This window comes from Homo sapiens, chromosome X (genome assembly GCF_000001405.40).
Source record: "Homo sapiens chromosome X, GRCh38.p14 Primary Assembly".
Lineage (NCBI taxonomy): Eukaryota > Metazoa > Chordata > Mammalia > Primates > Hominidae > Homo > Homo sapiens.
Window position 1 is genome coordinate 120,732,180 of NC_000023.11, and position 25,112 is coordinate 120,757,291.

Below are 25,112 nucleotides of genomic sequence, written 5' to 3' on the forward strand. Positions count from 1 at the left end.
ATAAAAGGGCAACATGAGGGATCCTTGTGGTGATGGAACCATTCTGTATCTTGACTGTATCAATGCCAATATCCTGGTTGTGATACTGTATGGTGTTGCAAGACACTGTCATTGGGGGAAACCGGGAAAATGGTACATGGTTTCTCTTTGCAGTATTTCTTACAACAACTGCATGAAAATCTGTATCTAAGGTAACAAGCATAATTTAAAAAAAAAACCTCTTTTCTCTTATAGCATGGGATTTCAGTGTCAAAAATGTGGAGCACTTCTCCCGTGTGTGTTTGTGTGTGTGTGCGTGTGTGTGTCTGTGTGTGTACATACCACTCCTATGCCAAGAGTCTGCATATCCGTGTTTTTACCTGTCTCTAAAGTAGAATATCTGCTGGTGTCCACATGTGATAATAATTGCCTTTTATATTGTGTGCCATAGATATTACGGATGTCCTATGACGTTGTTATAAAAATTCTGCTGATGACTCACTCTGCTTTCTCTAAGTCACTTTGTCATTGATATTGTGCCTGGTTTTATAAGCTTCTTGGCAATGAAGTGATTTGTACTTGTTTTGCCAAGAGGTCTAATAACGTTGAATGAAACCCCCATAGCTTTTATATCTTCCCTGCCTTCGTCACAATATTCATCAACTTCATACAGCAAAGAATTACTTCGTGCTTGCTTTCAAAATATTCAATTGGTTTATCACAGGGTTAACTGTACTTTGATTAATAATTATGTAAAAGCGGCCGTGGGCCGAGGAGAGCTCTAGGTGGCCAGCCAAAGACCTGGGGCGTCGTGGGCTTCGGCGAGCATGCAGGGATGAGCGGGTCCCTCGGCCGAGCGGCGGGCTCGGGTGCGGGCGGTGGTGTTTCAGGGGAGCGGCTGGACGCACTGGTGAAGGACAAAGTGGTTGTCTTCCCTCAAGGGGACGGCGGAGCAACCCCAGTGCGGCTTCAGCAACGCCATGGTGCAGATCCTGTGGGTGCACGGCGTCCGCGACTATGCGGCCTACGAAGTGCTGGACGACCCCGAGCTGCGACAAGGCATTAAAGACTATTCCAACTGGCCCACCATCCCGCAAGTGTACCTCAACGGCGAGTTTGTGCGGGGCTGTGACATTCTTTTGCAGATGCACCAGAATGGGGGTCTGGTGGAAGAACTGAAAAAGCTGGGGATCCACTCCGCCCTTTTAGATGAAAAGAAAGACCAAGACTCAAAGTGAGGGCGCCCGGGTCCTCCCTGAACAGAGGGAGCCGTTCGTGTCAGAGACTCACTGCCAGAAAAACCTTACCGATTTTGGTTTTCACTACTGAGACAACTGCGTTGCACTGATCATTTCCGTTCGTGAGCAGTCGGGTGATTTTAGGTTGTCTGGTGTTTGGGCTAATAAGATTTTATTGTGAGCTTAATTACAACCACTGCACTGTAATAATTCAATGCTGTATTATGATATTGCTGTAAACAAAATTTGTTCTTATATTGCCATTTATTTTTTGCCTGATTCAGGAGTTAAACTAGGAGCTTTGGAATCATTATTCATGACCCCTCTGCAAATATGTCAGTCTGCAAAGACAATATCTTCCCCCAAATTATGTATAGCTTCTTCCGTTATGGAAAACGATGGACAAAGAAGAAACTGTGATAACTGGGTTTTTTTTTTTTTTTAAATAAACTGCCAACACAGGAAGAAAGTTATGTAAAAGCTTTGATGACTTCGTGCTACAATTTGATACATTTTATTATAAAGAGCATGCTGGAGACTGGGGCAAATGGATGGCAGGTCTAATAAAATCAAATTTTCAGACATTTATCTTCTTACTTCATATTTGCATTTTCGACTGCTTATATGATATTGTCACACACACACAGGCTTATTTTTATTGTTACTTTAATATTCGACAAACCTTTTTTCCTTAGTAAAGTTTATTTTTCCAACATAAAAGTAATATAAAACTTGGAAAATACAGCAAAATAAAAAGAGGAAAAATCAACATAATTTTACTGCCCCAAAAATCCCATTGACTTTTTTTTTTTTTTTTTTCCTTGAGACGGAGTCTCGCTCTGTCGCCCAGGCTGGAGTGCAGTGGCGCTGTCTCGGCTCACTGCAAGCTCCGCCTCCCGGGTTCACGCCATTCTCCTGCCTCAGTCTCCTGAGTAGCTGGGACTACAGGCGCCCGCCACCACGCCCGGCTAATTTTTTTTCGTATTTTTAGTAGAGATGGGGTTTCACCGTGTTAGCCGGGATGGTCTCGATCTGCTGACCTTGTGATCCGCCCATCTCGGCCTCCCAAAGTGCTGGGATTACAGGCGTGAGCCACCGCGCCAGGCCCTGATAGAGATTTTGTTCATTTTTTTAAATTTGTTTGCTTTGTTGATAGCTTGAGAGACCTTCACATTTCCATGTACCTGAGTCATCAAAATTTCTAAATCTGGTGGGTTCTTCACCCTAGAGTCCCAAGAGTGCCATAAGATACATCCTGGCATGGCAGTGGCCAGAGGGGCTGGTCTGGAAAGGGTGACAGAGGCCCTGATGTCTCAGGGAAAAGCACTCAGCATGAACCAGTAATCTGCACAAGGGTCGACCTAGTCCAGAAAGAACTTTTCCTGGGCTCGGTTCCCACCCTGGTGGTCACATCGCCGTGACTCAGCAGGAAGAGGCCTCCCCAGAGCCCAGGTCTCTCACAGTTAAGTGTTGTCAGAGGCTGCCGCGTGGGCCAGCAGTCCATCTCATTGGGTTAGCAGCAGCATTCCAACCCACAGGATTTGTTCACAGGCTGGAATGCTGGCCTCAGGGCTGGGCAGTGGCACTTCCTCCACTTGGTCCTGATGCTTGCAGTGATACCCTGTGGTGGTGCCATAAATCAGCTCTGCTCTGTGCTTTCCCAGAGAGATTTCCAAATGAATTGCCCTCCAAGCAGGCAGCGTGAGATACCTCCTTTCAGATGTCATGAACTAGATGGAATTTTGTTTTTACTAGAGGGGGGTAAATAGCAATGCCAGGCTATGATGTTGGAGTCTATTCAGTTTGCCTCACTTGACCCACATGTCAGTTATGAGCTAAACCTCACAGGCTGTCTCCTCAGGGTTAGTGGTTATTTTTCCTCAGCTAGAGGGAAGAACAAAGGAATGGAGCCCAGATGCACCAGAATGGGGACCTGGTGGAAGAACTGAAAAAGCTGGGGATCCGCTCCACCCTTTTAGATGAAAAGTAAGACCAAGACTCAAAGTGAGGGTGCCCGGGTCCTCCCTGAACAGAGGGAGCTGTTCGTGTCAGAGACTCACTGCCAGAAACTGTCACAGCAGCTGCAGGTTTGCACACCCAGTGCTTGACATTAGGCAAACCCCCTCATTTCTCGGGGTCCTCGACCTCCTCAAAAGTTTTTTCTTTTTTTTTTTTTTTTTTGAGACAGAGTCTTTCTCTGTTACCCAGGCTGGAGTGCAGTAGCATGATCTCGGCTCACTGCAACATCTGCCTCCTGGGTTCAAGTGATTCTCTTGCCTCAGCCTCCTGAGTAGATGGGATTACAGGCATGTGCCACCACGCTTGGCTAATTTTTGTATTTTTAGTAGAGATGGGGTTTTACCATGTTGGTCAGGCTGGTCTCAAACTCCTAACCTCAGGCAATCCACCCACCTCGGCCTCCCAAAGTGCTGGAATTACAGGCGTGAGCCACCGCACCCAGCCGGAAGTTTATTCTCTTAACTGGAGCTCAAGACTTCAAGACCAGTCTGGGCAATATGGCTAAACCTGGTCTCCACAAAAAAATACCAAAGGTATCCAGGTGTGGTGGTGAATGCCTGTAGTCCCAGCTACTTGGGAGGCTGAGGTGGGAGGATTGCTTGAGCCTGGGAGGTGGAGGTTGCAGTGAGCCAGGATCGCACCACTGCACTCCAGCTTGGGTGACACAGCAAGATCATGTCTCAAAAAAAAAATACATAAGGATGGTTAAGAATGTAATTTGACAAAAAGAATGTAATGTGATTGCTGTAAAAAATCATAATTAGCCTTACATCTCAAATATGTGGAAGGTATGTAAAGAAATAATATTATTGCTTTTTCCTCTGTCACTGGCTAGGTTTCTGGGAATGATCAGTGGCCCTGGATCACCCAGAGTCCATGCACCACACTTTGAGAAACAGTGCGTAAGGGAAAAGTATATGCTATGCTTTAAACACATTTATTAATACATTAAGTTTGATTCTATTTAAATTGGTTGAACTTTATTATACTTGATCATGAAGTTTCTATCATGGGTAAAAAATTATGACAAAATAGATGCTTTTTACTGATAGTTTGGCATCTTCCTTAATAATAGACCTGTAGCCAGGGTGAGGATGTCCAGCTAGGTACTTACGTACATTTTCCAGCCCGCTTTGTGGTCTGGTGTGGCTCTGAGACCAGTGAAATGTAAGTAGGAGTGATGTGTGCTTTTTCTAGGCCCAGCTCTTTAAACTTTGCACATGTGCTTCTCTTTACTTTTTTCCTCTAACAGAAGAAATATGGATGTGCCCATAGCACACATTACTCAGCTTTGAAACTGGCAGATAAGGCTGTTGCCTTACAGAAGGGCAGAGAAACATGAAGGAATCAACCCAAGTCCATGAGTGACTGAATGAGTTGAGTAGGCCACCTATGTGCTCTGGACTGTCAAGTGGAGAGAAACTTGACAAGTGGTGAGTTCTTTGACTCCCTGTACTATTGGGTTTTTATATTATAGAGGCTTAGCCCTTTAAGCCTGATAAAGCCAGGGAAACTTGGAGGTCTGAAAGCTCCGATTGGTAGCTTGTGGGGAAGAGTGGCTCTTGGTGGCACAGGACAGGTGGGAAGGAAAAGGGAGTCAGGATTTGGCACAAGACTACCAACCATGGTAGGTGGGTATGGCAAGTGCGTGTCCAGTTGATTTCTAAGGATGATTTTGGTGGTACTGCCAGGTAGGGGAGATAAGAAATAAGGAATAAGCTTGGTTGTGAGTCATACAGAAGTGTAGTTTTCTTATGAGAAAGAATAACTGAGTCAGGGGAAATGGTACCACTTAGTCATCCAGTTTAGGATTAGAGAGAAATGAAATCAAGGGAGCCACATCAGGCATAGGTCATCTCTGGGTCACCTCATGCAGGATCCAGGGAAGTGACACTTCTAAGCTTCCTGAAGGGTCCCTGGGGCTCTTGCTACTTTTCCTACTTTAGTCATGATTAGCATAAAAACTGTGGTGGAACTGTGGTGGCTTCATTAGTGGCTTCAGCTGTAAAGACTTGAAGCTGGAACAAATCAGAGATAAATCTTATTTACCTCACTTATTTACCTTTCATCTACATATGATTTAGTGCCTCAGCCACTGCTAGGGTACCTTTCTGTAAACTGGAAAAAGTGCTCCTTTTTGGGTTGGGGGCATGGCCTAGCAAGCACATGTATCAAACTAGGAAAGGAAAGCATTACTTGGTGAGTACAGTGCAGTATGGATTTCAGCCCCCATTCACCTCCATGACTGGGTATCCTTTGTGCAGTGAACAACATGCACAACTGTACATGGTGGCCTTGCAGACTACCAGAGGCACAGTGAGCATGAAGAGTGAAGTTGGAGAGTAAAGAAACAATTCAAATGTAACCTGCTGGCCAGAGGTACTTATAGGAAAGGCAAAAGAGAAGCAAAAGGTGAAGGGTGATTTAAGAACAGTTTTAAACTTAATATCTGAAGGGCCATCCCCAAATAGACAATATACTTTCTTGTATCTTTACCTTTGCTCATGCTGTTCCTCATCTGAAGTATCCTCTCTGGTTATATGATTCCTACACATACTCCAAAGCTTACTTCTAGACTTAACCTTTCCAAAAAGCCTTCCGTGAACTCTGTAGCTTACAAAGATCCCTCCCTCCCTCTTTACACTAAACTCTGACCATACTGCACTTAAGTTTCTGCCTTACATCATGCTCAGTGATTAGCTGGCCTGCTTTCCTTTTTGGCTGATTACTTCGTTTCTGAAACCATCTCTTGTGCCCCCCCCCCCAATAGCTATGGGAGTTTATTGAACTTAGTATTTATACATCAGTCTCTCCTCAGTGGATTCTAAGCTCTGTCAAGGCAGGGACTGTGGGTTTTAAAAAAATTTCTATCCCCAGCCAGCACAGGGCTCAACAAGTGTTTGTTGAATAAACAAATGGGCAATCCATGCTCAAAAAGATGTCTATTTGTTTGAGTGACCGAGAGCCTGGAAAATTTCTTCTCCAGTCCCAAACTATGTTTTTATTCAGGGAACCTCCGCTAAGCTCCCCACAGCAGGGTATGGGGACCACTTGTGACCAATTAACTTAAAATCTTTCCCCTGTTCAGACACTATTTTAACAAATCCTTGCAGTAGAAAGAGCACTGTGCTCATTGGGTGGTTCTAGTTCAGTTCTGATACTAACTAGCCATGTGACTTTGAGCAAATTGAAATCACCTGCCTGGCCAGCCTTAGTTTCCTATACTGTAAAATGAAAAAGTAGCTTTAATAGTCTGCAATGTTGTAAAGCAACATGATAAACAATGTGGTAATTGAGCTGAACTGTGAAAATATATTCATATCCATGGTAATACCTAACTCCTATCCTAGCTCAGCTTGAAGCAATTTTTCTTCGGCAGTGAAACATTCATAAGATGTTTTATGCGCCCCATGACCAATAAACAGCTGTAGGAAACTTGGGGAAAATATAACTCTCCCTCTTGGCCTGTATAATTTTACTGTTGTTGTTGTTGTTAATGGGCAGCCACCACTTCTTCTCTCTCCTTCATGGGGCTTATTTGTTCATTCTATTTAGGGTTGGCAGGTTCATCAAATAAAAGTGCAATATGATTCCTTCATATTTGTTCAGCACTTCACAGGTTATGAGGAAGCAGGTTAATGTATTAGAATGCAGAATGGCAGAAATAGCCTTGCTATCTAAAGTGTGTCCCCCCAACTGATAGCATTAGCATTACCTTGGAGCTTCTTAGAAATTCAAACTCTGAATCCCACCCCAAACCTACTGAGTCAGAATCTGCATTTTAACAAGACCTGCAGGTGATCATGTGTACACTAAAATTTGAGAAGCCCTGGGCTAGTTCTAACTGCCTCCTCCATTTGCTCAACAGCTGTCCCTAAACTCTGGAGTAGGAAAAAGGGAGTAGAGTTGCCCAAAATATGAACTCTTCAATTGGCTCCTTCCTATATTGTAGGGACTATCACACATGTGGTGGTCTTACAGGGCAGTGCATAATAAACAGCAGATAATGTTAAGTTTTCTGTCAGGGCCATCTGCTCAAACAAAGTCAGAAACCACATCCAAAAAGAAACCACATCTGTAGTATGATGAAGGCACTATGTCTAGGCAAGGCTGGACCTGAGTCAAGTTGTCATCTCTGCCTGGTTGGGATATCTATGCCTGTGAATATTCTTGAACTCTCCCTTTTGGCTACAATTCTTCACTACAAGGTTCTCTCCCTTTTTCTTTCAGATACTGAGTGTCCTCCTCAACCAAAGTGAACATTTAGAAAGGCATGTACTCTACTGTAACATTAAGTACAGTAGGTGTTTCTCCTCACCTGGGCTCTATATTCTCAGTTCTTTGCAAACATCCTCTTAAAGGGATTTCATTCCCCCAAGTAGCTATTGGAATAGGGTATTTTGGAAGGGTCTGGGTCACATACTCCACCTAAGAATAAAGCCAGCTCTGCTTCTAGGCTCTCAGCCTCAGCCTTACCCATATTCTCAAATCTCTCCACTCGCTCAGCCTCTCATACAGTTGCCCTTCCTGCCTTCACAAGTCTCTGTCTCTTTCCACTTCTCTCCTCCCAATTCGGGTCAGGCTAGACTGAGGATGGCTAGACCTTAGAGATCGGCCAGAAATACAGAGACACGGAAGTGATCTGCAGATGTCAATGAAACCAGAATAGTAAGAAATCCAGAGAAGGAGGCATAGTGTGATACCAGTTGGTCTGATAAGAGGGGACTAGGAACTGGGATTCAGAGGCAAGAAAGACTTTAGTTCTCATGAGAATTAGGGAGTCAGTCTCAGCTCTGGGAACCTGACATGCTGACCAGGGATCTAGCAGAAAGGGAGAGTCATGACTGGGCACGGGTAATTGGCAAGAAACCAGGGACTGGACAGAGGTTCTGAGGTCAGAAAAGGGCCAGAAGCTGGGATAGATTTGGACCTATGGCTGGGGTTGGTGGCTCCAGGAGTGAAGGCTAGAGTCCTGTGCTGAAGTTCCACCATTTGTTTTATTCATTTGAGATATAGATTTCGCTTTATAGAGTGGAGGTTAAGAATGTTGGCTCTGGAGCTAGATGGCTGGGGTTCAATTCTGTCTTCATCTCTTACCAGAGGTTTGACTTTGGTAAGGCTCTTAATCTCCCTGTGCCTCATCTGAGGGATGCTGTGAGGCTCCAATGAGACAATGTATGCTAAATGCTTAGCAAAGCACTGGCCCACAGGACATCCTAGCTAAATGCTATGCATGATGATGGTTAGCCCTCGAACTCCATGCCTCCATTCCTCTACTCCTCAAATTCCCTTCTGGTCACTGGGACATGTTCCCTCTGCTTAAAACAGCTTTTTTCCCTTAACTCCTTTTCATCGTTTAGGCCTCAGTTCAGACCTCAGTTTCCATAGGGGTCCTTTCCCAGATGCTCTTGGAATGGGTGAGGGGTTCTTCCTTGTGCTCCTATAGCACTTACACTTTTTTTTTTTTTTTTAAGACAGAGTCTCACTCTGCTGCCCAGGCTAGAGTACAGTGGTATGATCTCAGCTCACCTCAACCTCCACCTCCCGGATTCAAGCGACTCTCCTGCCTCAGCCTCCCAAGTAGCTGGGATCACAGGCGTGCACCACCATGCCTGGATGATTTTTGTATTTTTAGTAGAGACTGGTTCTCACCATGTTGGCCAGTGTGGTCTCGAACTCCTTACCTCAGGTGATCCGCCTGCCTTGGCCTTCCAAAGTGCTGGGATTATAGGCATGAGCCACCGCACCCGGCCAGCACTTACACTTATACATCATGTATTGTAATTGCTCATTTCCTTGTCTGTGTCTCCCATTAGTCCCTCAGCTCTACAAGTTTGGGGATTGTATCAGTTTTTTCCACTGCTCTCTCAGTTTCGCTGACACACAATAGAAATTTATTAAATGTTTGTTGATTAAATGAATAAAATGGTGAGAGACTTCAAGCTTAGGTGCCTTGGGAGAGCCATAACCAGACAGGATTCCTCTGTTAAAGCTTAATCTATGAGCTGCTGACAATTGTAAAGCCAGAGCCCCAAGGCCTGCGGTCACTTTCAGATGATGTCCCTTTCGGGAGGTGTCAGTGAAACCCACCTGCCCACCACCTTGCCTGTCTGTTTTCTGTGTGCTGTGTGGGCCAAGTAGTACTGGGAGGAGCAGCTTTAAATCTGAAAGTGTCCTATACATTTTCCAAGCCTCTGTAGCAGTCACCATTTTTCCCAAGCTAGCTTGTGTAATAATGCCTGGAGGCTAGTAAACAATGAACAATCCAATACCTTTCAAAGCATCCTGGAAGTACAATATTTGTGCTCCTTCTGTGGCATGTAAATATGTCTTATATCATGCAACATGCTGCTTTTCTAAATATTCATAAAATCTTATCTTAAATTTCTTTTATTTTAATAAAATGAAAATCTCGGTCTGTCTTTGTGAGCAAAATGATGTTTCCACCAACAAAGCTACTGGAGCCAGGCTGGGGATTGCAGGCTGCAGCGGCTTGAAGAGATGGACTTAGAAGTCACAGGGGAAAGGCTGGACGATAATTCCCTCCTTCTTCCTCCTGAACTCTGCTGATTCCATGGGGAGCAATCAGAGAACATTCTTGGAGACCTCTAAGTGACTATCTCCATGCCTAGCCTCATGTAGAGACATTCTACACATTTCTCTAAAACTTGCAGATGGCCGAGTTCACCTGGGAAGAGTTCATTTTGTGTGAGAAAAGTGGACAATTAACCTAGGGCAAGTGAAAATTGGAGGCAGGGATATAGCCAGCTGCTCTTAACAGAAAAACTAGTCATGCGTTCTTATTGCATGTTTGGGGACTGGGGTTAGGGCCGGAGAGTTTGACTCTCATTAGACAATTTGAAAAAAGTACATTTTAGCTTGGGGGACCCTTATTTCTCACCCCTTTATCAGAGGATAATTTAGAGTCGCATATGGGGTCTCTGGGTAGGGTTTTGCTAAATTTGCTAATTTGCCAGATTTTGCAGATACAAATATAGGATGTCCACTTAAATTTGAGTTTCAGATAAACAAGAGATTTTTTTTAGCATTTGCATATCCCAAATGTTTCATCCTGTAATGTATCTGGCAACCCTATTCCCAGGTAGTTATCCCTTGGAGCACCATGTTGTTGGTCTGCTTAATAAGGCAAAATGCCTAAGAAGCCTTCTGCTACTGGGACACCCTTAGCGGCTGGAGTTAGATCATCTCCCTTAGTACTGCTGGAAGCTCTGAGAAGCCAGTAGACCCCCTAATGAGCTGAACAGTGTGTGGGGGGGTGGAGGTGGAATGTTGTCTTAAATAAGCCCCTACTGATAGTGTGCGTAAAGATAGAGTTGGATGGAACAGCTGGTCTTTCAGGAGCCCTGTCCCCTACTTATCTTTTCTCCTTTTTGTGTGCCTTAGAAAACCCTACTGCTTTATTCTACCCTAAATCTCTTTTCCCAACAGCCAACCCAAATCAGTCAAGGCCCTTGAAACTTTCAGCCTAAAGTCAACTTATCCTGATAAACAAAAATGTAGGACTCAAAGGAAGCCACTACATGTAGAATATTCAATAGGAGAAAGCAAAAAGGACACTTGCTTACAGGCCTCATGCTTATTCCCATGGAAATAAAGAAACCAAATATGAGAATGAGAGAGGACCACCAGGACCTCACTTGGCTATTTAAATAAGAGAAATGATGCGGATTCAAGTGAAAGACAGATGGAACCGGAAGCAGCATCAATGCTTGGCAAAAGTAGTTTTTGGACTAGTGAGCTGAAAGGAGGGGCTGTTTGTTTCCCTGCAGATGTCTCGCAGGCTCCTGTAAGGAAGGAGTTTTTCCCACGTGCTCTTTGGAGTTGGACTGGGAAGGCTTAGTGTTAACTTACCTACCTTAGCCTAGTCACAGCACTAAAGGGCAAGTTGGCCTACTTGAGAGTGAGGCCCCTGAGAAGAACACAAACCACCCTCAATACACTTTAAATACTCTTCCCAGGGTTTTGTGCTCAGGAGTTGTTTGAAAGGCACAGGCACCTGGGTGGTTTTATGGGGTAATAAAAAGATGTGGAATGGAGGTGGGTGTGGATCATTTCTGCCCCTCTGTTCTGTTCCCAAGAAACCCTGGAGTACAGTGATTCTGAGACACTGTTAGGCCACCTGTGGTAGACATGAGTGGCCTTTTTCCAATTACTTCCTTTCCCCCTAATCTCAGATGATATGAGGGCTGGGTTCACAAAAGCATGGTAGAGGCAAGGCTTAAGACGAGAGGCCCAATGGGCTTGAGCCAGACTGTTGGCCAGACTGGGGCTAAAGACTCGTCAGCATGGTCAGACTAGGACACTCCGGCATGTGATTAACCATCTACAGTTAGGGCTGGAAGAGTTTTAGCTGGCATTTGGGCATGACTTTATAAAATGACCTTCCACACACAACTCTAAAATCAGGTCTGGGGTCTGAGGCCAGCCCTAGGTCAGCTCCCACTGAGGTACTTTGCACTGGCTGCCTTTTTCTTTTGGGAGGGACGACTGTAGCCTTTGAGGTGGGTCCTCATAGGCTTTCAGTAGTGTGAAGCTTTGGTCAAATCTGGGTGCCTAGCACTATATTTAAGCACATACATATCTGCTCAACGTCACTCAGCTAGTAAGTAGTAGAGTCAGTGCTGGAAACCAGATCTGTCTGACTTCAAAGCTCAAGCTTTAAACCATTACCCCACCATTTCTCAGCCTCCAGCCTCTCAAATACCACCTTCATGATTTTTGCCATATCGTGTACTGCCTACACTATTATTTTGTAAAATTTTTTAATTTTTAATTTTTATAGGGACATAGTAGGTATATATACTTATGGGGGACATAAGATGTTTTGATACAGGCATGCAATGTGAAATAAGCGCATCATGGAGAATGGGATATCCATCCCCTCAGGCACTTATCCTATGTGTTACAAACAATACAATTATACTCTTTAAGTTATTTTAAAATGTACAATTAAGTTATTATTGACTATAGTCACCCCGTGGTGCTATCAAATACTAGGTTTTATTCATTCTTTCTAACTATTTTTTTGTACCCATTAACAATCTCCACCTCCCTCCCTTAGGTTCCCACTCTCCTTCCCATCCTCTGGTAACCATTCTATTCTCTATGTCTGTGAGTTCAATAGTTTTGATTTTTAGATCCCACAAATAAGTGAGAACATGTGATGTTTGTCTTTCTGTGCCTGTCTTATTTCACTTGACATAATACTCTCCAGTTCCATCCATGTTTTTGCAAATGACAGGATCTCATTCTTTGTTTTGGCTGAATAGTACTGCATTGTGTCTACACTATTATTTCCTTAATATTTTTGAATCAACTTTTAAACTTTCATTAAAAGGAAAATCTATGTCACTGCCATAAACTGAAATCCAGTATCAAGTACCCTAAATGGAAGAAAATTATACTAATATACCTATAACTGCTTATTATAAATGTTCATCTGGGTATGACTGATAATCATCTCATATCTCGCTGGTGGTTTGCCTACCACACTTTGGAAAATACCGCACTATTCTAAGCAGCAGGATTATAATAGGCCTTGAAGGCTACTCTGGACTAAATGTTTGTGTCTCCTCCCTGCCCTCCCAATATGGTTTGGCACTGTGTCCCAACCCAAATATCATGTTAAGTTATAATTTCCAGTGTTGGGGGAGGGATCTGGTAGGAGGCGATGGGATCATGGGGGCGGATTTCTCCCTTGCTGTTATCATGATAGTGAGTGAGCTCTCATGAGATCGGATAGTTTAAAAGTGTGTGGCACTTCTCCCTTCTCTCTCTCTCTCTCTCTCTCTTTTTCTCTCTCTCTCTCTCCTGCCACCATGTGAAGATGTGCCTGCTTCCCCATCACCCTTCTGCCATAATTGTAAGTTTCCTGAAGGCTCCCCAGCCATGCTTCCTCTATAGCCTGTGGAACGGTGAGTCAATTAAATATCTTTTCTTCATAAATTACCCAGTCTCAGGTAGTCCTTTATAGCAGCGTGAGAATTGACTAATATAACACCCCCCCGCCACTTGCATACATTGGAGCCCTAATCTCCAATGTGATGGTGTCTTATTCTGTTTTCTGTGGCTACAGCAGAATACCTGAGGCTGGGTAATTTATAAAGCAAATAAATTTATTTAGCTCACAGTTCTGATGGCGGGGAGGTCCAAGGTTGGGCAGTTGCATCTGGTTGGCTTCTGGTGAGGGCTTTATCAAAACATGTCAGAGAATAGAAGGGGAAGTCAGTACATGCAAAAAGGGCAAAACACAACAGGCAAGCTAAGAATGAATCCATTTCCCCAAGAACTAACCCAGTCTCATGAGAAAGACATTAATCCATCTTAATGAACTAATCACCTCTTAAAGGCACCACCTCCCAATGCTGCCACGTTGGAAACCAATCCTTAATATGAGTTTTGGTGGGGACAAACAATATTTAAAGCATTGCAGATGGGATTTGGAAGTGTGGCTTTTAGGAGGTAATTATGCCATGAAAGTAGAGCCCTCATAAATGGGATTAGTGTCCTTTTAAGTGACACAAAGAGATGATCTCTCCCTCCACCATGTGAGGGCACAGCAAGAAGGCAGCCATCTGCAAACCAGGAAAAGAACCCTCACCAAGAACCTCGATCTTGGATTTTCTAGTCTCCAGAAGTGTGAGCAATAAGTGTCTACGGTTTAAGCCACCCAATCTATGGTATTTTTGTTATAGCAGCCCAAAGTGACCAAAACAAAGGCCATCTAATGAACCTTCCTCCCCTTTTCAATTTCAAAATAGCCTGTGCAATCTTTTAATTAATATCCTCTTGCCTGAGCTTGAACTTCTCTTGTGAGGAGACAGAAAACATTTTGCTTCTGACCAGAAACTGCCATCACACATGTTTCTTTGTTCTTTGATGTTGACACAAGTATACAGCCTTTGAAGAACTTTTACTACTGCGGCAAACTAGACATAAGGCCACTTGTGTGCCCTCACCTTTGCACTGTCTTTTTCTCATCTTTTTAAACTTAGCTGTTGTGGAGAGAAGGACAAAAAAGTACACAGGTGATGTTGGTGTGCTGGAGTATATACAGGATTGAAGTTTGATTTACGTACTTCACTCTGAGGGAAACACAAACCAGGCACAGAAAGTTGGATCCAGTAAGAAATCCTTAGTATTGGGAGGGAAGGGGAAATTCTGAATGCAGATGTGTATGTCTTCTGGTCCAGCTGCCTTTGAAATAATTTCAACATCTTCTGAGAAAAAGGAGGTGGAAGAGAAGAGTCGTCTCTTTAAAAAACCTTAGTAGGACATCAGCACATGAGCATGCCGGTTTGGCTGTGCCTCTAACAAAAAGTATCACAAAGGGAAGAGAGATCTTTTCCCCCTATGCAGAATAATATATTGCCTAGCTTTGGCATTTCAAGGGCCCCAGTGCCTCAGCTGTAGCAGCAGATAGCAGTGCCCAGTGGATGCAGGGTTGCTTAGCACAGGCACCAAGAGATAAATAGAAGGGCAGCAAGAGCAGCCCCTGGCAGGAAGCAGACATCCCTTGGGGACTCTAATATTATTAAGGGGTCCTTTGATAGAGGCCAAATTCTGCATAAGAGATAAAGGCAAGAGCTGGCAAAATTTGGAAGAGTGAGAGATTGTGTGACCTTTTATATACCTGCAGGCTGGCAAGGTCTGGGGAAACTCAAAGTACACACAGTTTAGAGAAAAATCCTGGACCACTGCCTGCTACCCCAGTTCCAGACATCACAGAAAAAGGGGTACATGTCCATATAATAAAGATCTCTTTCAAAAGTCTCAGAAAGGCTTTTCAAATACGTACAGCCAACTGATCTTTGACAAAGCATACAAAAACATAAACTGGGGAGTGGACACCCTATTTAATAAATGGTGCTGGGAAAACTTGCAAGCCACAGGTAGAAGAATGAAACTGAATCTTTATCTCTCATGTTATACAAAAATCAACCCAAGATTGATTAAAGACTTAAATCTAATACGCGAAACTATAAAACTTTCAGAAGATAACATCGAAAAAACCCTTGTAGACATTGGCCTAGGCAAAGAATTCATGACCAAGACCCCAAAAGCAAATGCAACAAAAACAAAAATAAATAATTGGAACCTAATTAAACTGAAAAGCTTCTGCACAGCACAAGAAATAATCAGCAGAGTAAACAGACAACCCACAGAATGGGAGAAAATCTTTGCAAACTACATATCTGAAAAAGGACTAGTATCTGGAACCTACAAGAAACTCAAACAAATCAGCAAGAAAAAAAATCTCATTAAAAGGTGGGCAAGTGACATGAGTAGGCATTTCTCAAAAGAAGATATACAAATAGGCCAGGCGTGGTGGCTTACACCTGTAATCCTAGCACTTTGGGAGGCCGAGGCGGGTGGATTACTTGAGGCCAGAAGTTCAAGACCAGCCTGGCCAGCATGGCAAAACCCCATCTGTCCTAAAAATACAAAAATTAGCCGGGCATGCCTGTAGTCTCAGCTACTCAGGAGGCTGAGGCACGAGAATTGCTGGAACCCAGGATGCAGAGGTTGCTGTGAGATGAGATGGAGCCACTGCACTCCAACCTGGGTGATAGAACGAGACTCTGTCTCAAAAAAAAAAAAAAAAAAAAAGCCCACAACAAAACAAAAACCAAAACCAAACAAACAAAAATGGCTCAAAATCACTGATCATCAGGGAAATGTAAATTAAAACCACAATGAGATACCACTGTACTCCTGCAAGAATGGCAATTATTAAAAAGTCAAAAACCAATAGATGTTGGCATGGATGTGGGGAAAAAGGAATGCTTCTACACTGCTGGTGGGAATATAAATTAGTACAACCTCTATGGAAAACGGTATGGAGATTCCTTAAAGAGCTAAAAGTAGATCTACCATTCGATCCAGCAATCTTACTACTGGATATCTACCCAAAGGAAAATAAGTCACTACATGAAAAAGACACTTGTACACATAGGTTTATACCAGCATAGTTCACGATTGCAAAGATGTGGAACCAACTTAAGTGTCCATCGACCAATGAGTGGATAAAAAAAATGTGGTATATACATATATACACCATGAAATGTTACTCAGCCATTAAAAGGAATGAAACAATCTTTTGCAGCAACTTGGATGAAGCTGGAGGCCATTATTCTGAGTGAAGTAACATAGGAGTGGAAAACCAAAAACTACATGTTCTCATTTATAAGTGGGAGCTAAGCTATGAGTACACAAAAGCATACAGAGTGATATAATGGACTTTAGAGACTCTGAAGGGGGAGGCTGGGAGGGGGGGCAGGGATAAAAAACTACACATTAGGTACAATGTACACTACTCGGGTGATGGGTGGACTAAAATCTCAGAATTCACCACTACATAATTCATCTATGTAACCAAAAGCCACTTGCAGCCCAAAAGCTATTGAAATAAAAATTTAAAAAAATATATTAAAGAATTAAAAAACCCAAAAACAAAATCCAAAATTCTCAGAAAGGCTTTTAAAATATGATACATGGGAGAAAACCCTGCAACAAAGACATGAGGTCCCATCATTATTGTGAATTAGCCCCTTGATCAACAACCATCACTTGAACATACACGGACTGCAGCAGCAAATGGGTTAGAAAAATGGGAGGCTAGCTATTTGTTCTTTAGGGAGACAGAGCTATTAGGGCGATGTCTGGCTGAGTTATTGAAGGAGAGGGATGTGTTCAAGGTACAAAATGGGTCCTTGAAATAGTTTCTCGTATGATGGCTCAGAAAGAAAAATAGGACTCCAGCCCTTCACATGACGGCAACCACCATTTGTTACTGTCTGCTGCATCTAGACTGGAATGGGGTCTGTCAGTGAGCTTCATGTTGACACAGGTGCTGGGGAGAGGTTGAAGAGGGGGAAGTTAGCTGGAGACACTGCTGTCAGGATCAGCACTGGGGCAGAGAGGAAGCAGCTGCGTTTCGGTGGTAGAAGTGGGAGGGGAAGGAAGAGGGGTCTGCAAGGGTTCTGTACATCCTGCACTGACAGAACTCAACAGCCCAGCCCTGCCTGGCTGGCCCTGGACAAGATAGACCCTGGGCAGCAACTGGGAGAAGGGAAGAGGAGAAGGGGAGCTCCTGGGGCCAGAATCATTCAGCAGAGGCTGTGGTTTCAGTGCATACCTTTGTGTGAAAGGAGTGCACCAAATCATTGAGTTGGGCTGTAATTCCAAGGGCTATAATTATAATTCCAATTCTTTTTTGTTTGTAATATTTCAAATTCTTGGTTCCTAGATATTGATCAGCAAAAAATTCCTCAGATGGCAATAGCCTCTTTTCTCCTGCAGCTCTCTCCCCACCCTTAGCCCTTACAAAGTAGAGCAGGAAGCTATTTTCTTTCCTCATTTCCATGGGAGAAGGAAAAAAGAAATAATAACAAAAGCCCATATTTGTTGAAGACTTTCCATGAGCTGGGCACTCACAACAATCCTGAGAGGTAGGTATTAATATTGGCCCCATTTTACAGATGAGGATATTGACGGTCGTTTACCCCTGCTTATTTCCTTCACAGTGCTGATCACAATCTCTAATCGTCTTATTTATTTGTACCCTTGTCTGTTCACTCCCATAGAGTGTGCACTCTATAAAAGAGGACTTTTGTCTATTTTGTTCGCTATATATGTGCAATGTGTAAAAGTGGGTGTGTGGCACATCACAGATTCTCAGTAGCTTGTATTTCTGTCAGGTTTTGGATTTGATTTTACCCCACTTACAATCAAATAATTTAGCTTGTTACTGTTTTATGATTGCTGGAAGAAAATACAAGACTTCTGGATCAGAGACAGACTGTATTACTCACAACACATTAAACAACATGAGCATCAGCAAGTTTGTGTCACTTGCCCTTGTCCCCAAGTCCCATAGGGATGACACAGAGGGACCCAAATTCATGCTTTATATGCAGTCGGTTTACATCACAGCTGTGGGACAATGACACTAAGCTTGGGGAGCCCAGAGTTTTGTAGCAAGCGGTAAGGATTCCCACTCTTTGTCCCAGAGGCCATGTTACCTCACCCCTGAAAATTTCTCACTGCCACTATTAATATAACCCTGAGAAATGTCCCTGGAAAAGAGTTGCCAGGGCCTTGCATTCTTGGCATGCCCAACAAGAAGTATAGGAGCATAAGAGATCCAGGGAGGAGTGTCTCCCAATATCCTACCCCACTTACCCCACTTAATTACTTCATGCAGAAAATGGGGATGACAGTATCTACTTGATATAGTAGCTATTAAGTGAGTTATGTGCTCAAATGTCACTTTTTCAGTGACACATTCCCTGACCATCCTACTTAAAATAGAGGTCACACCTCCAGCATTCTCTGAAAATACTACTTTATTGCTTTATTTTACTTCACAGCACTTACCACTATTGAATATACTCAACATTTCACTCATTTATCTCTCTCATTGTCTGTCTTCCATGAAATGGAATGCAATGCAGGGATATCTTTCATATCTCTCTGTCCTGCTTATGACTGGATCATCAGTGCCAAATTCAGGGCCTGGCACATTTTAGGCATAAATAATAAAATACTTGTTGAATGGGTGAAAGCACCCAGCCCAGTGCTTGACACAAAAAAGGGCTTCATATATACTAGTTTCTCTTCCACCCTGCTCATGCCTGTCTCCCTTTTTTTCAAACTGCCCATACATCCATCAATCCCCCAACCATGCTTGGGCTCCGGTCCACCCTCCCACCTGCTCTATCATCCCAAGCCCCTGCTGAGTTGCCCGTGCACACCCAAGAACCCACCCTCCCTCTTCTCCTTTTTCCTTCCTTCCATTTGGCCAGTGGGGGTGGGAATTACTACCTTCTAAATCTGAATCTGAGCGCACACAGAAAATATGATGGGGGTCCCACTTTCCACAGGAGCAGTAAAAAAAAAGATAATCATAAATTCTCCCATGTTATTGAGTGCTGAACATGTGCTGTATCATTTACACGTGTTTGCTCAAGTAGTCTTCACGGGAACACTGGAGGGGGAAGTATTATTATTGTCCTCACTTGACAGATAAGGAAAATAAAGCTCACAGGGGCTAGATGACTTAACCCACCTATAGCTGGGACCAGAACCCATGCAATATAACTCTAAAGTCCATGGTCCATTGAAGGGCCCAGGAACTGAAGGTAAGTCTATTGAAGACAGAAGGTATTAAATGAGCCAAGGGTATGTAATTTCTAACCTCTCCATGGACTTCCTGCCTCCTCCCTGAACTTCTGAGCTACTCAGTGGGCACTTGTATTAGCCTCTCTTTAATGCAGAGGCCTTATCTCCATATCTGGTCTAGACTGCAAACTTATTGTGGATAAGCCCATGTGTTATTACTGTCTGTGGCACTCATAACTTTCACACAGCAGGCTCTTAGTAAACAACAAAGGCAATGACCATAGCATCAGCAGCAGGTGTTGGAGTCACAGAACTAGGTTTGAATTTCAGCTTTGATTTGAACTCGTTTTGTGACCACGGGCACTTTGTTCCACCCCTCTGAACCTGTTTCCTTGTCTGTAAAATGGGCATAATACAAGTACTTATTTCAGATGGTTGTAATTTACAAATGAATTCAAATGTAGTGATTAGAACAGTGCTTGGCATGAAATAAATATTCAAGAAATGTTAGCTATTTATTGTTGCTATTATTATTAGAATCCCTATATGCCACTTTAATATTCACTTTAAAAATATAATCTTATCACACTTGAACATAATAGGTGTTATTACTATTTTATACACATGTCTCAGAAAGATTAAGGTAACTTTTACACAGAGTGACAGAGTGAAGTTTTGAATCCTCGATGCTATTTCTGCTACATGAATTGAATGGTTTCGTCTTTTCTGAAGGAGTGGAATGGTGGGCTTCCTTGATTAAGCCATTTCTTTAATGAAATGCTTGACCAAGACCCTAACAGCCACCAAGCTATGGAGGATCTTACTCAGTTATCTCCAGAAACCTGGCCAGAGGGAATGGGGTGAGGGAGAAGCTGAAGGCAAGGTGAGGGGGTGTGTGTGCTGGCTTTCTGAGAAGCTTAGGGTTAGAACAGGGAGTTGAGGAAGGGCCAAAGTAGAATTAAATTCAAATGCAGGTGATTTCACTGAGGCTAAGAAAATGATACCCCCCTACCCTCCACCCCTCACAGCTGCAGTGGGGCCCAGCTTGCAGCTGGGAAGGCTTTTGCGTTTACTACTCACAGTTCTCTGGGAGCCAATGTTTGCTTCCCTTTCTCCGGGGTTTTGTGCAGGGAGAGGTGCAGAGCAACAATCAGAGACCAAATAACTTAATTCAAGGCCAAACAGATGCTTTTTTTCTTGAAGGTATCCAGGGGTATGATCTGCAACAGAGCTGCTCATCACCGCTCTCTAATTTTGGGGCCTCGTGTAGGGGAAGAGCTCATTCGCTTCTCTTGGGATGTGAGCCAGCTGGGATAGATGCTTCACTAAGAGACATGTGTGCACTTTGTCCTGATCTGAGCTCACTGTGAAGGGCCTTTGAACTCATCAAGCAATTCCAGGAAGTGGAAGATGATCAAAGAACACAAGAGAATCATGGTTTAAGCTTCTTTTAAAGTCGAGTTTGGATGTGCTGTGAAGAGGGAGGAGGCAGCTTTCTTGTCCACCGGCATCACATAAAGAGAAGAGCTGTGAATCCCCACAAAGAACCACTTGCACCATAAGTACCAGGGCAGGGGAGGCGTGGGGCTTGTAACATTAGATTATTGGGCCCTCCTCACACCCTCAAAATCAGAATTTGGTGGGGCGGGGGGCTGCGGGAGGACGGTGAGAGTAGGTCCCAGCAGTCAGCAATTCAAATAAGCCCCCAGGTGACTCTAATGTACTGGAAAGTTTGAGGACAACTAAGTTAAAGCATGGGACTTGGAGAGTTCCAACCCTGCTTCTACTACTTATCAACTCTGTGATCTTTGGCAAGCTATTTAACCTCTCTGAGCTTTAGATTCTTCCTTATAGAATGGAATAACCATAGTACCTCCCTCACAGTGCTGTGGGGAGGATTAAATGAGATAACATGTTCCCAATTAGAAATGGTAGTTATTAAATTTCTTCTCCCATTATGCATTATTTTTGTTTCTCCTTTTGAGTAGGAAATGCAAATTTATCTTTCTCCACTTGAAGCACACCACCCCCCGCCGCCCCCGCATTTTCCTTTCACCAGCAGGTGTTTGGCACGTCTAAACACTTGTTTAAAACCCTGTTAAAAACATAGGCAAAGCAGAGGCTCCATACAGTGGCTAAAGATGTTTACCACATGGATGGCACACCTGAGAAGTGCCTACCTGAGCAGTGCCCTTTTCAGATGATCTTCTCCTAACTTCCCACCTCCCTCTCCCTAAATTAAAACCTTTGCATCCAGTGTACTGTCTCTGTACGGTTCTTCTCTGTGTCAGGGCTAGAGCACCAATGAGTTAGTCATGCAGTTGCATAATTATGCAGTGTTATCAATCTCTTGTAAGTTTGGTGAATGGGAGTCGTCAAGAAGATCCCACCTCGCACCTGTGTGGGCTGGCAAAATACGGTTTTTCACCTCTAAAATGGAAAGCCAGCTCCTGGACCTAAGTCGGCCCCAGGAAAGCACTGCTATTTGTAGACACTGCCTCTCTGTCTTACCTCTTAATCATAGCACACTGAATACTGCCTCACAACACCGCTAGCTGTCCCTTTTGGTTTTTTCCCCTTGATGATGGTTGGAACCTAATTTCACCTAGATTCTTTCATTTAACAAATAATTATTGAGCTAAGAAGGGTAATCCCAGAGATGGCTGTTATTAAGAAGAGCTATTTGACTTTTTAAACCAGGAGTTAACGCTGGCTATACCTTAGGATTACCTATATAGCTTCGAAGAAAGATTCCTGGGTCCTACTCTTGGAGATTCTGAATTATCTGGTATGAATAGATTTAAAAAGCCCTCTGCCCAGATGATTCTAATGTATAGTCAGGGTTGAAGGCCACTTCTTTATTTAAAAAAAGACACACACACACATTTTTTTTTTCTAAACATTATGCCGTAAGGGTAAGGCCGTTACTTTAAACTAGGTGAATTCACTTATTCCACAAATAGTGAGTGCTTATCATGTACCAGGCATTGTTATACGCCCTGGGAATACATCCATGAACAAAAGAGACAAATATCCCTACCATCATGGAGTACGATGTTTTAATGGGAAAGACAGACAATAAGGTAATAAGATATGTGTTATGTTAAATGACGATAAGTACAATGAAGAAAAAGAAAGTAAGGAAGGGAGATTGAGAATGCCAGAAGTGATGTGTGATCGAATTTGAATTAGGGTGGTCAAAGAAAGTTTCACAGAGAAAGGGACAATGAGGAAAACCTGTAAAAGGTTTCTGGTGTCAGCCATGCAAAAATCTGGAGAAAGAGATTCTTGGCAGAGGTCACAGCCAGAACAAAGATCTTGATTCAGGAGTGCGTTTGGTGTGTTCTAGGAAAAGAAGTCTAGTGTGGCTGGAGGGAAGTGAGTGAGGGGAAGAGAGGTAGAAGATGAGGTTAGAGAGTTCATGGGGTTAGTGACACCAGATTAGCAAGTTGCTTAGGGCCTTGTAGGCCATTGTAAGGATTAGGACTTTTAATTTGAGTGAGACAAAAAGACATTGGATGGGTTTAAGCAGAGGAGTGGTGTGATCTGAATTAAAAGGGATCACACTGGCTGTTGTGGGGAGGATAAATTATAGAGTAGCAAGCATGGAAAAAGGGAGGCTATGTCAGGGGTTGGGGAAGTATTATTTGTTTGAGTGTTCTTGAACTCTCCTGTTCTCTCACCTTGTTGGGTTAGGGGGAGGGGTGGGGTGGTTTGTGACCTAGGACTTTGTGCCTTTTGAAAAAGGGAAGTAACTAACACGTGACAGTGTGTGTAACATTTGCAGATGTGGCTTCTCTGGATCAAGAGCCAAACAAACCTGCCATAGCAATTTGAATTTCTTCCTCTTAAGCCTCTTATTCCACTTCAGATCCCCCTCCTGACCTATTCTTTGGGGATTCTTAGATACATTTCCATCCCCCATAGTGACCTAGGTCTCTTATCCAGCTTTATTTCCTGCTTTTGACAGAGGAAAAAGATAGACTTCTGAATTGATGTGAGTGGAGATCTTATTATAGTAGCCACCTATAAAATAGCAGGAGGTAGAGATGTTTAATGTGTAAAATGGTTGTTGTCCTGGAAAAAAATCAATACCATAAATGTGAATTTAATGGGATCCCTCAGGGAATGGGAGTCTGGGCAATGTAACATTTTAGTTAATTGAAAGGTAACCCACTTCTCACCTTTGTTTTTTTCCCTCTTTTCTTTAAATTAGCTCTTGTTTCTGAGTGTGACAATCAAAGTGTTTACTGTGTGCATGTAATGTGCCAGGCACTGTGCTAGGTGTTTTACACACAGAACCTTATGCAATCCCTGTAACAACTGATGATGTAGATGTTTTCTTTATTCCCATTTTAAAGTTGAGGAAACCGAGGCTTGGAGAAATTAAACCGCTCACCTGAGGTGTCTTAGCTGATAAATGCCCAAGCTAGTCTGTCTGATGCTGAGACGCAACCTCAGTGATCAGTGTCTTGCTCATCATGGACTCTATTGTGTTTAATTTCTGGACTTCAGACAGGGCTTTAGCATTATCCTGCTAGCCATCTTGGAAGACTGTTCTAGGTTAGAAATGGAGGCAGAGAGAGAGGGTCAGGAGCCTGGGCTATGTGATGGCAGCCTTGGGAATGGGGTCCATTTACTGTTATTACTTTTTAAAGTAAAAGTTTTAATATCAACCTGTTTTCTTGTTACTAGGTTCTTCTAATGGACTGCAGAAGAGCAGTGTTTAGTTAACTGATAACAGTGTTATGATGTTACTTTAAGCATCGAAGCTCCTTAATTTGGTATGCCCAGTTTTTATTTTTGGTGGGGGACAGGGTGCAAGGAAATCAATCGGAATTAGCTGTAAATCTGAAATCCAGACTGTTTTAAATAAGTGCAGTCTCGTTTCATTTTTTTCAGTCACATTTAGTAACATAATCTAATGCTAACAAAGTGTCAAAGTGAGGCCTATTTTAATAAATACATTAAAAAAGTCATTCACTGTTCTATGCAAATGAGTTCTTTCATAGTTTAAAAATGAGCCTACTCATTTGCTTAACAAAGCTGATTTTCCCAGATCAATGCACAATACCTTGATCTCAGCCCTGGTCTGAATTACTGCAAAATTTGAATGAGAAGTTCTGCGCTAGATAGTTTTTGTCTGCCTCTTCAGGTCCTCACTCCAGTCTTCCCTCCTGCACTCTACCCTGGGAAGCTGACCTGTAGGGATGACATCAAAAGTCTCCCTTTTCTTAGTCAGGCTATGATGGTAAAGGCATCTCCAAATCCTCTTCCTAGCCCTGAGTTACCCTGCCTACACCTTTATAAATAGTCCATTTATTAATATTGACCCTTACCCCTCTCCAAAATAGCCATTTTGAGTGTGCCATCTATTTCCTGCTGGGACACTGATTGATACAGGTTTTGAATTATGTCTATATCTTTATTTCATGTACAGGTCTGAGACTGTATATGAGGGTAATATGACCATAGTTCTAATTTGAATGTACAGAGCACCATACAAGTCCGGTGGTTTACTGGGGAGTGTCTAGGAACACAAAGGAAAAAGGAACAATCACAGACCTGTCCATCAGATTCCTGTGATGTGGGTTTCAATAATCTGAGTATAGATGGATAGATAATGACTGGGCAAAAGAAAGGACTAGAGTAAGGAGCGATATTGACTTGTCTGGATTTTTTACTTTCCTATCAAGATCCTCTGACTGGCATTGGATCTTGGGGATGGGGTTA

At 43.1% G+C, this 25,112-nt stretch overlaps 1 pseudogene, besides 3 other annotated features; it reads left to right on the forward strand.

Moving 5' to 3' along the window:
• GLRX5P1 (GLRX5 pseudogene 1) lies at positions 780-1,680 on the forward strand (annotated as a pseudogene).
• Positions 4,308-5,507: an enhancer, noted in NCBI's record as "CDK7 strongly-dependent group 2 enhancer chrX:119870341-119871540 (GRCh37/hg19 assembly coordinates)". NCBI's record gives its function as "activates an origin of replication core promoter dependent on BRD2, BRD4, P300/CBP, MED14 and CDK7 cofactors, with strong dependence on CDK7, by STARR-seq in HCT116 cells {active_cell/tissue: HCT116}" and the evidence as "EXISTENCE:reporter gene assay evidence [ECO:0000049][PMID:35650434]".
• Positions 17,051-17,160: an enhancer, noted in NCBI's record as "active region_29905". NCBI's record gives its function as "activates an Ori minimal core promoter by ATAC-STARR-seq in GM12878 lymphoblastoid cells {active_cell/tissue: GM12878}" and the evidence as "EXISTENCE:reporter gene assay evidence [ECO:0000049][PMID:35858748]".
• Positions 22,911-22,990: an enhancer, noted in NCBI's record as "active region_29906". NCBI's record gives its function as "activates an Ori minimal core promoter by ATAC-STARR-seq in GM12878 lymphoblastoid cells {active_cell/tissue: GM12878}" and the evidence as "EXISTENCE:reporter gene assay evidence [ECO:0000049][PMID:35858748]".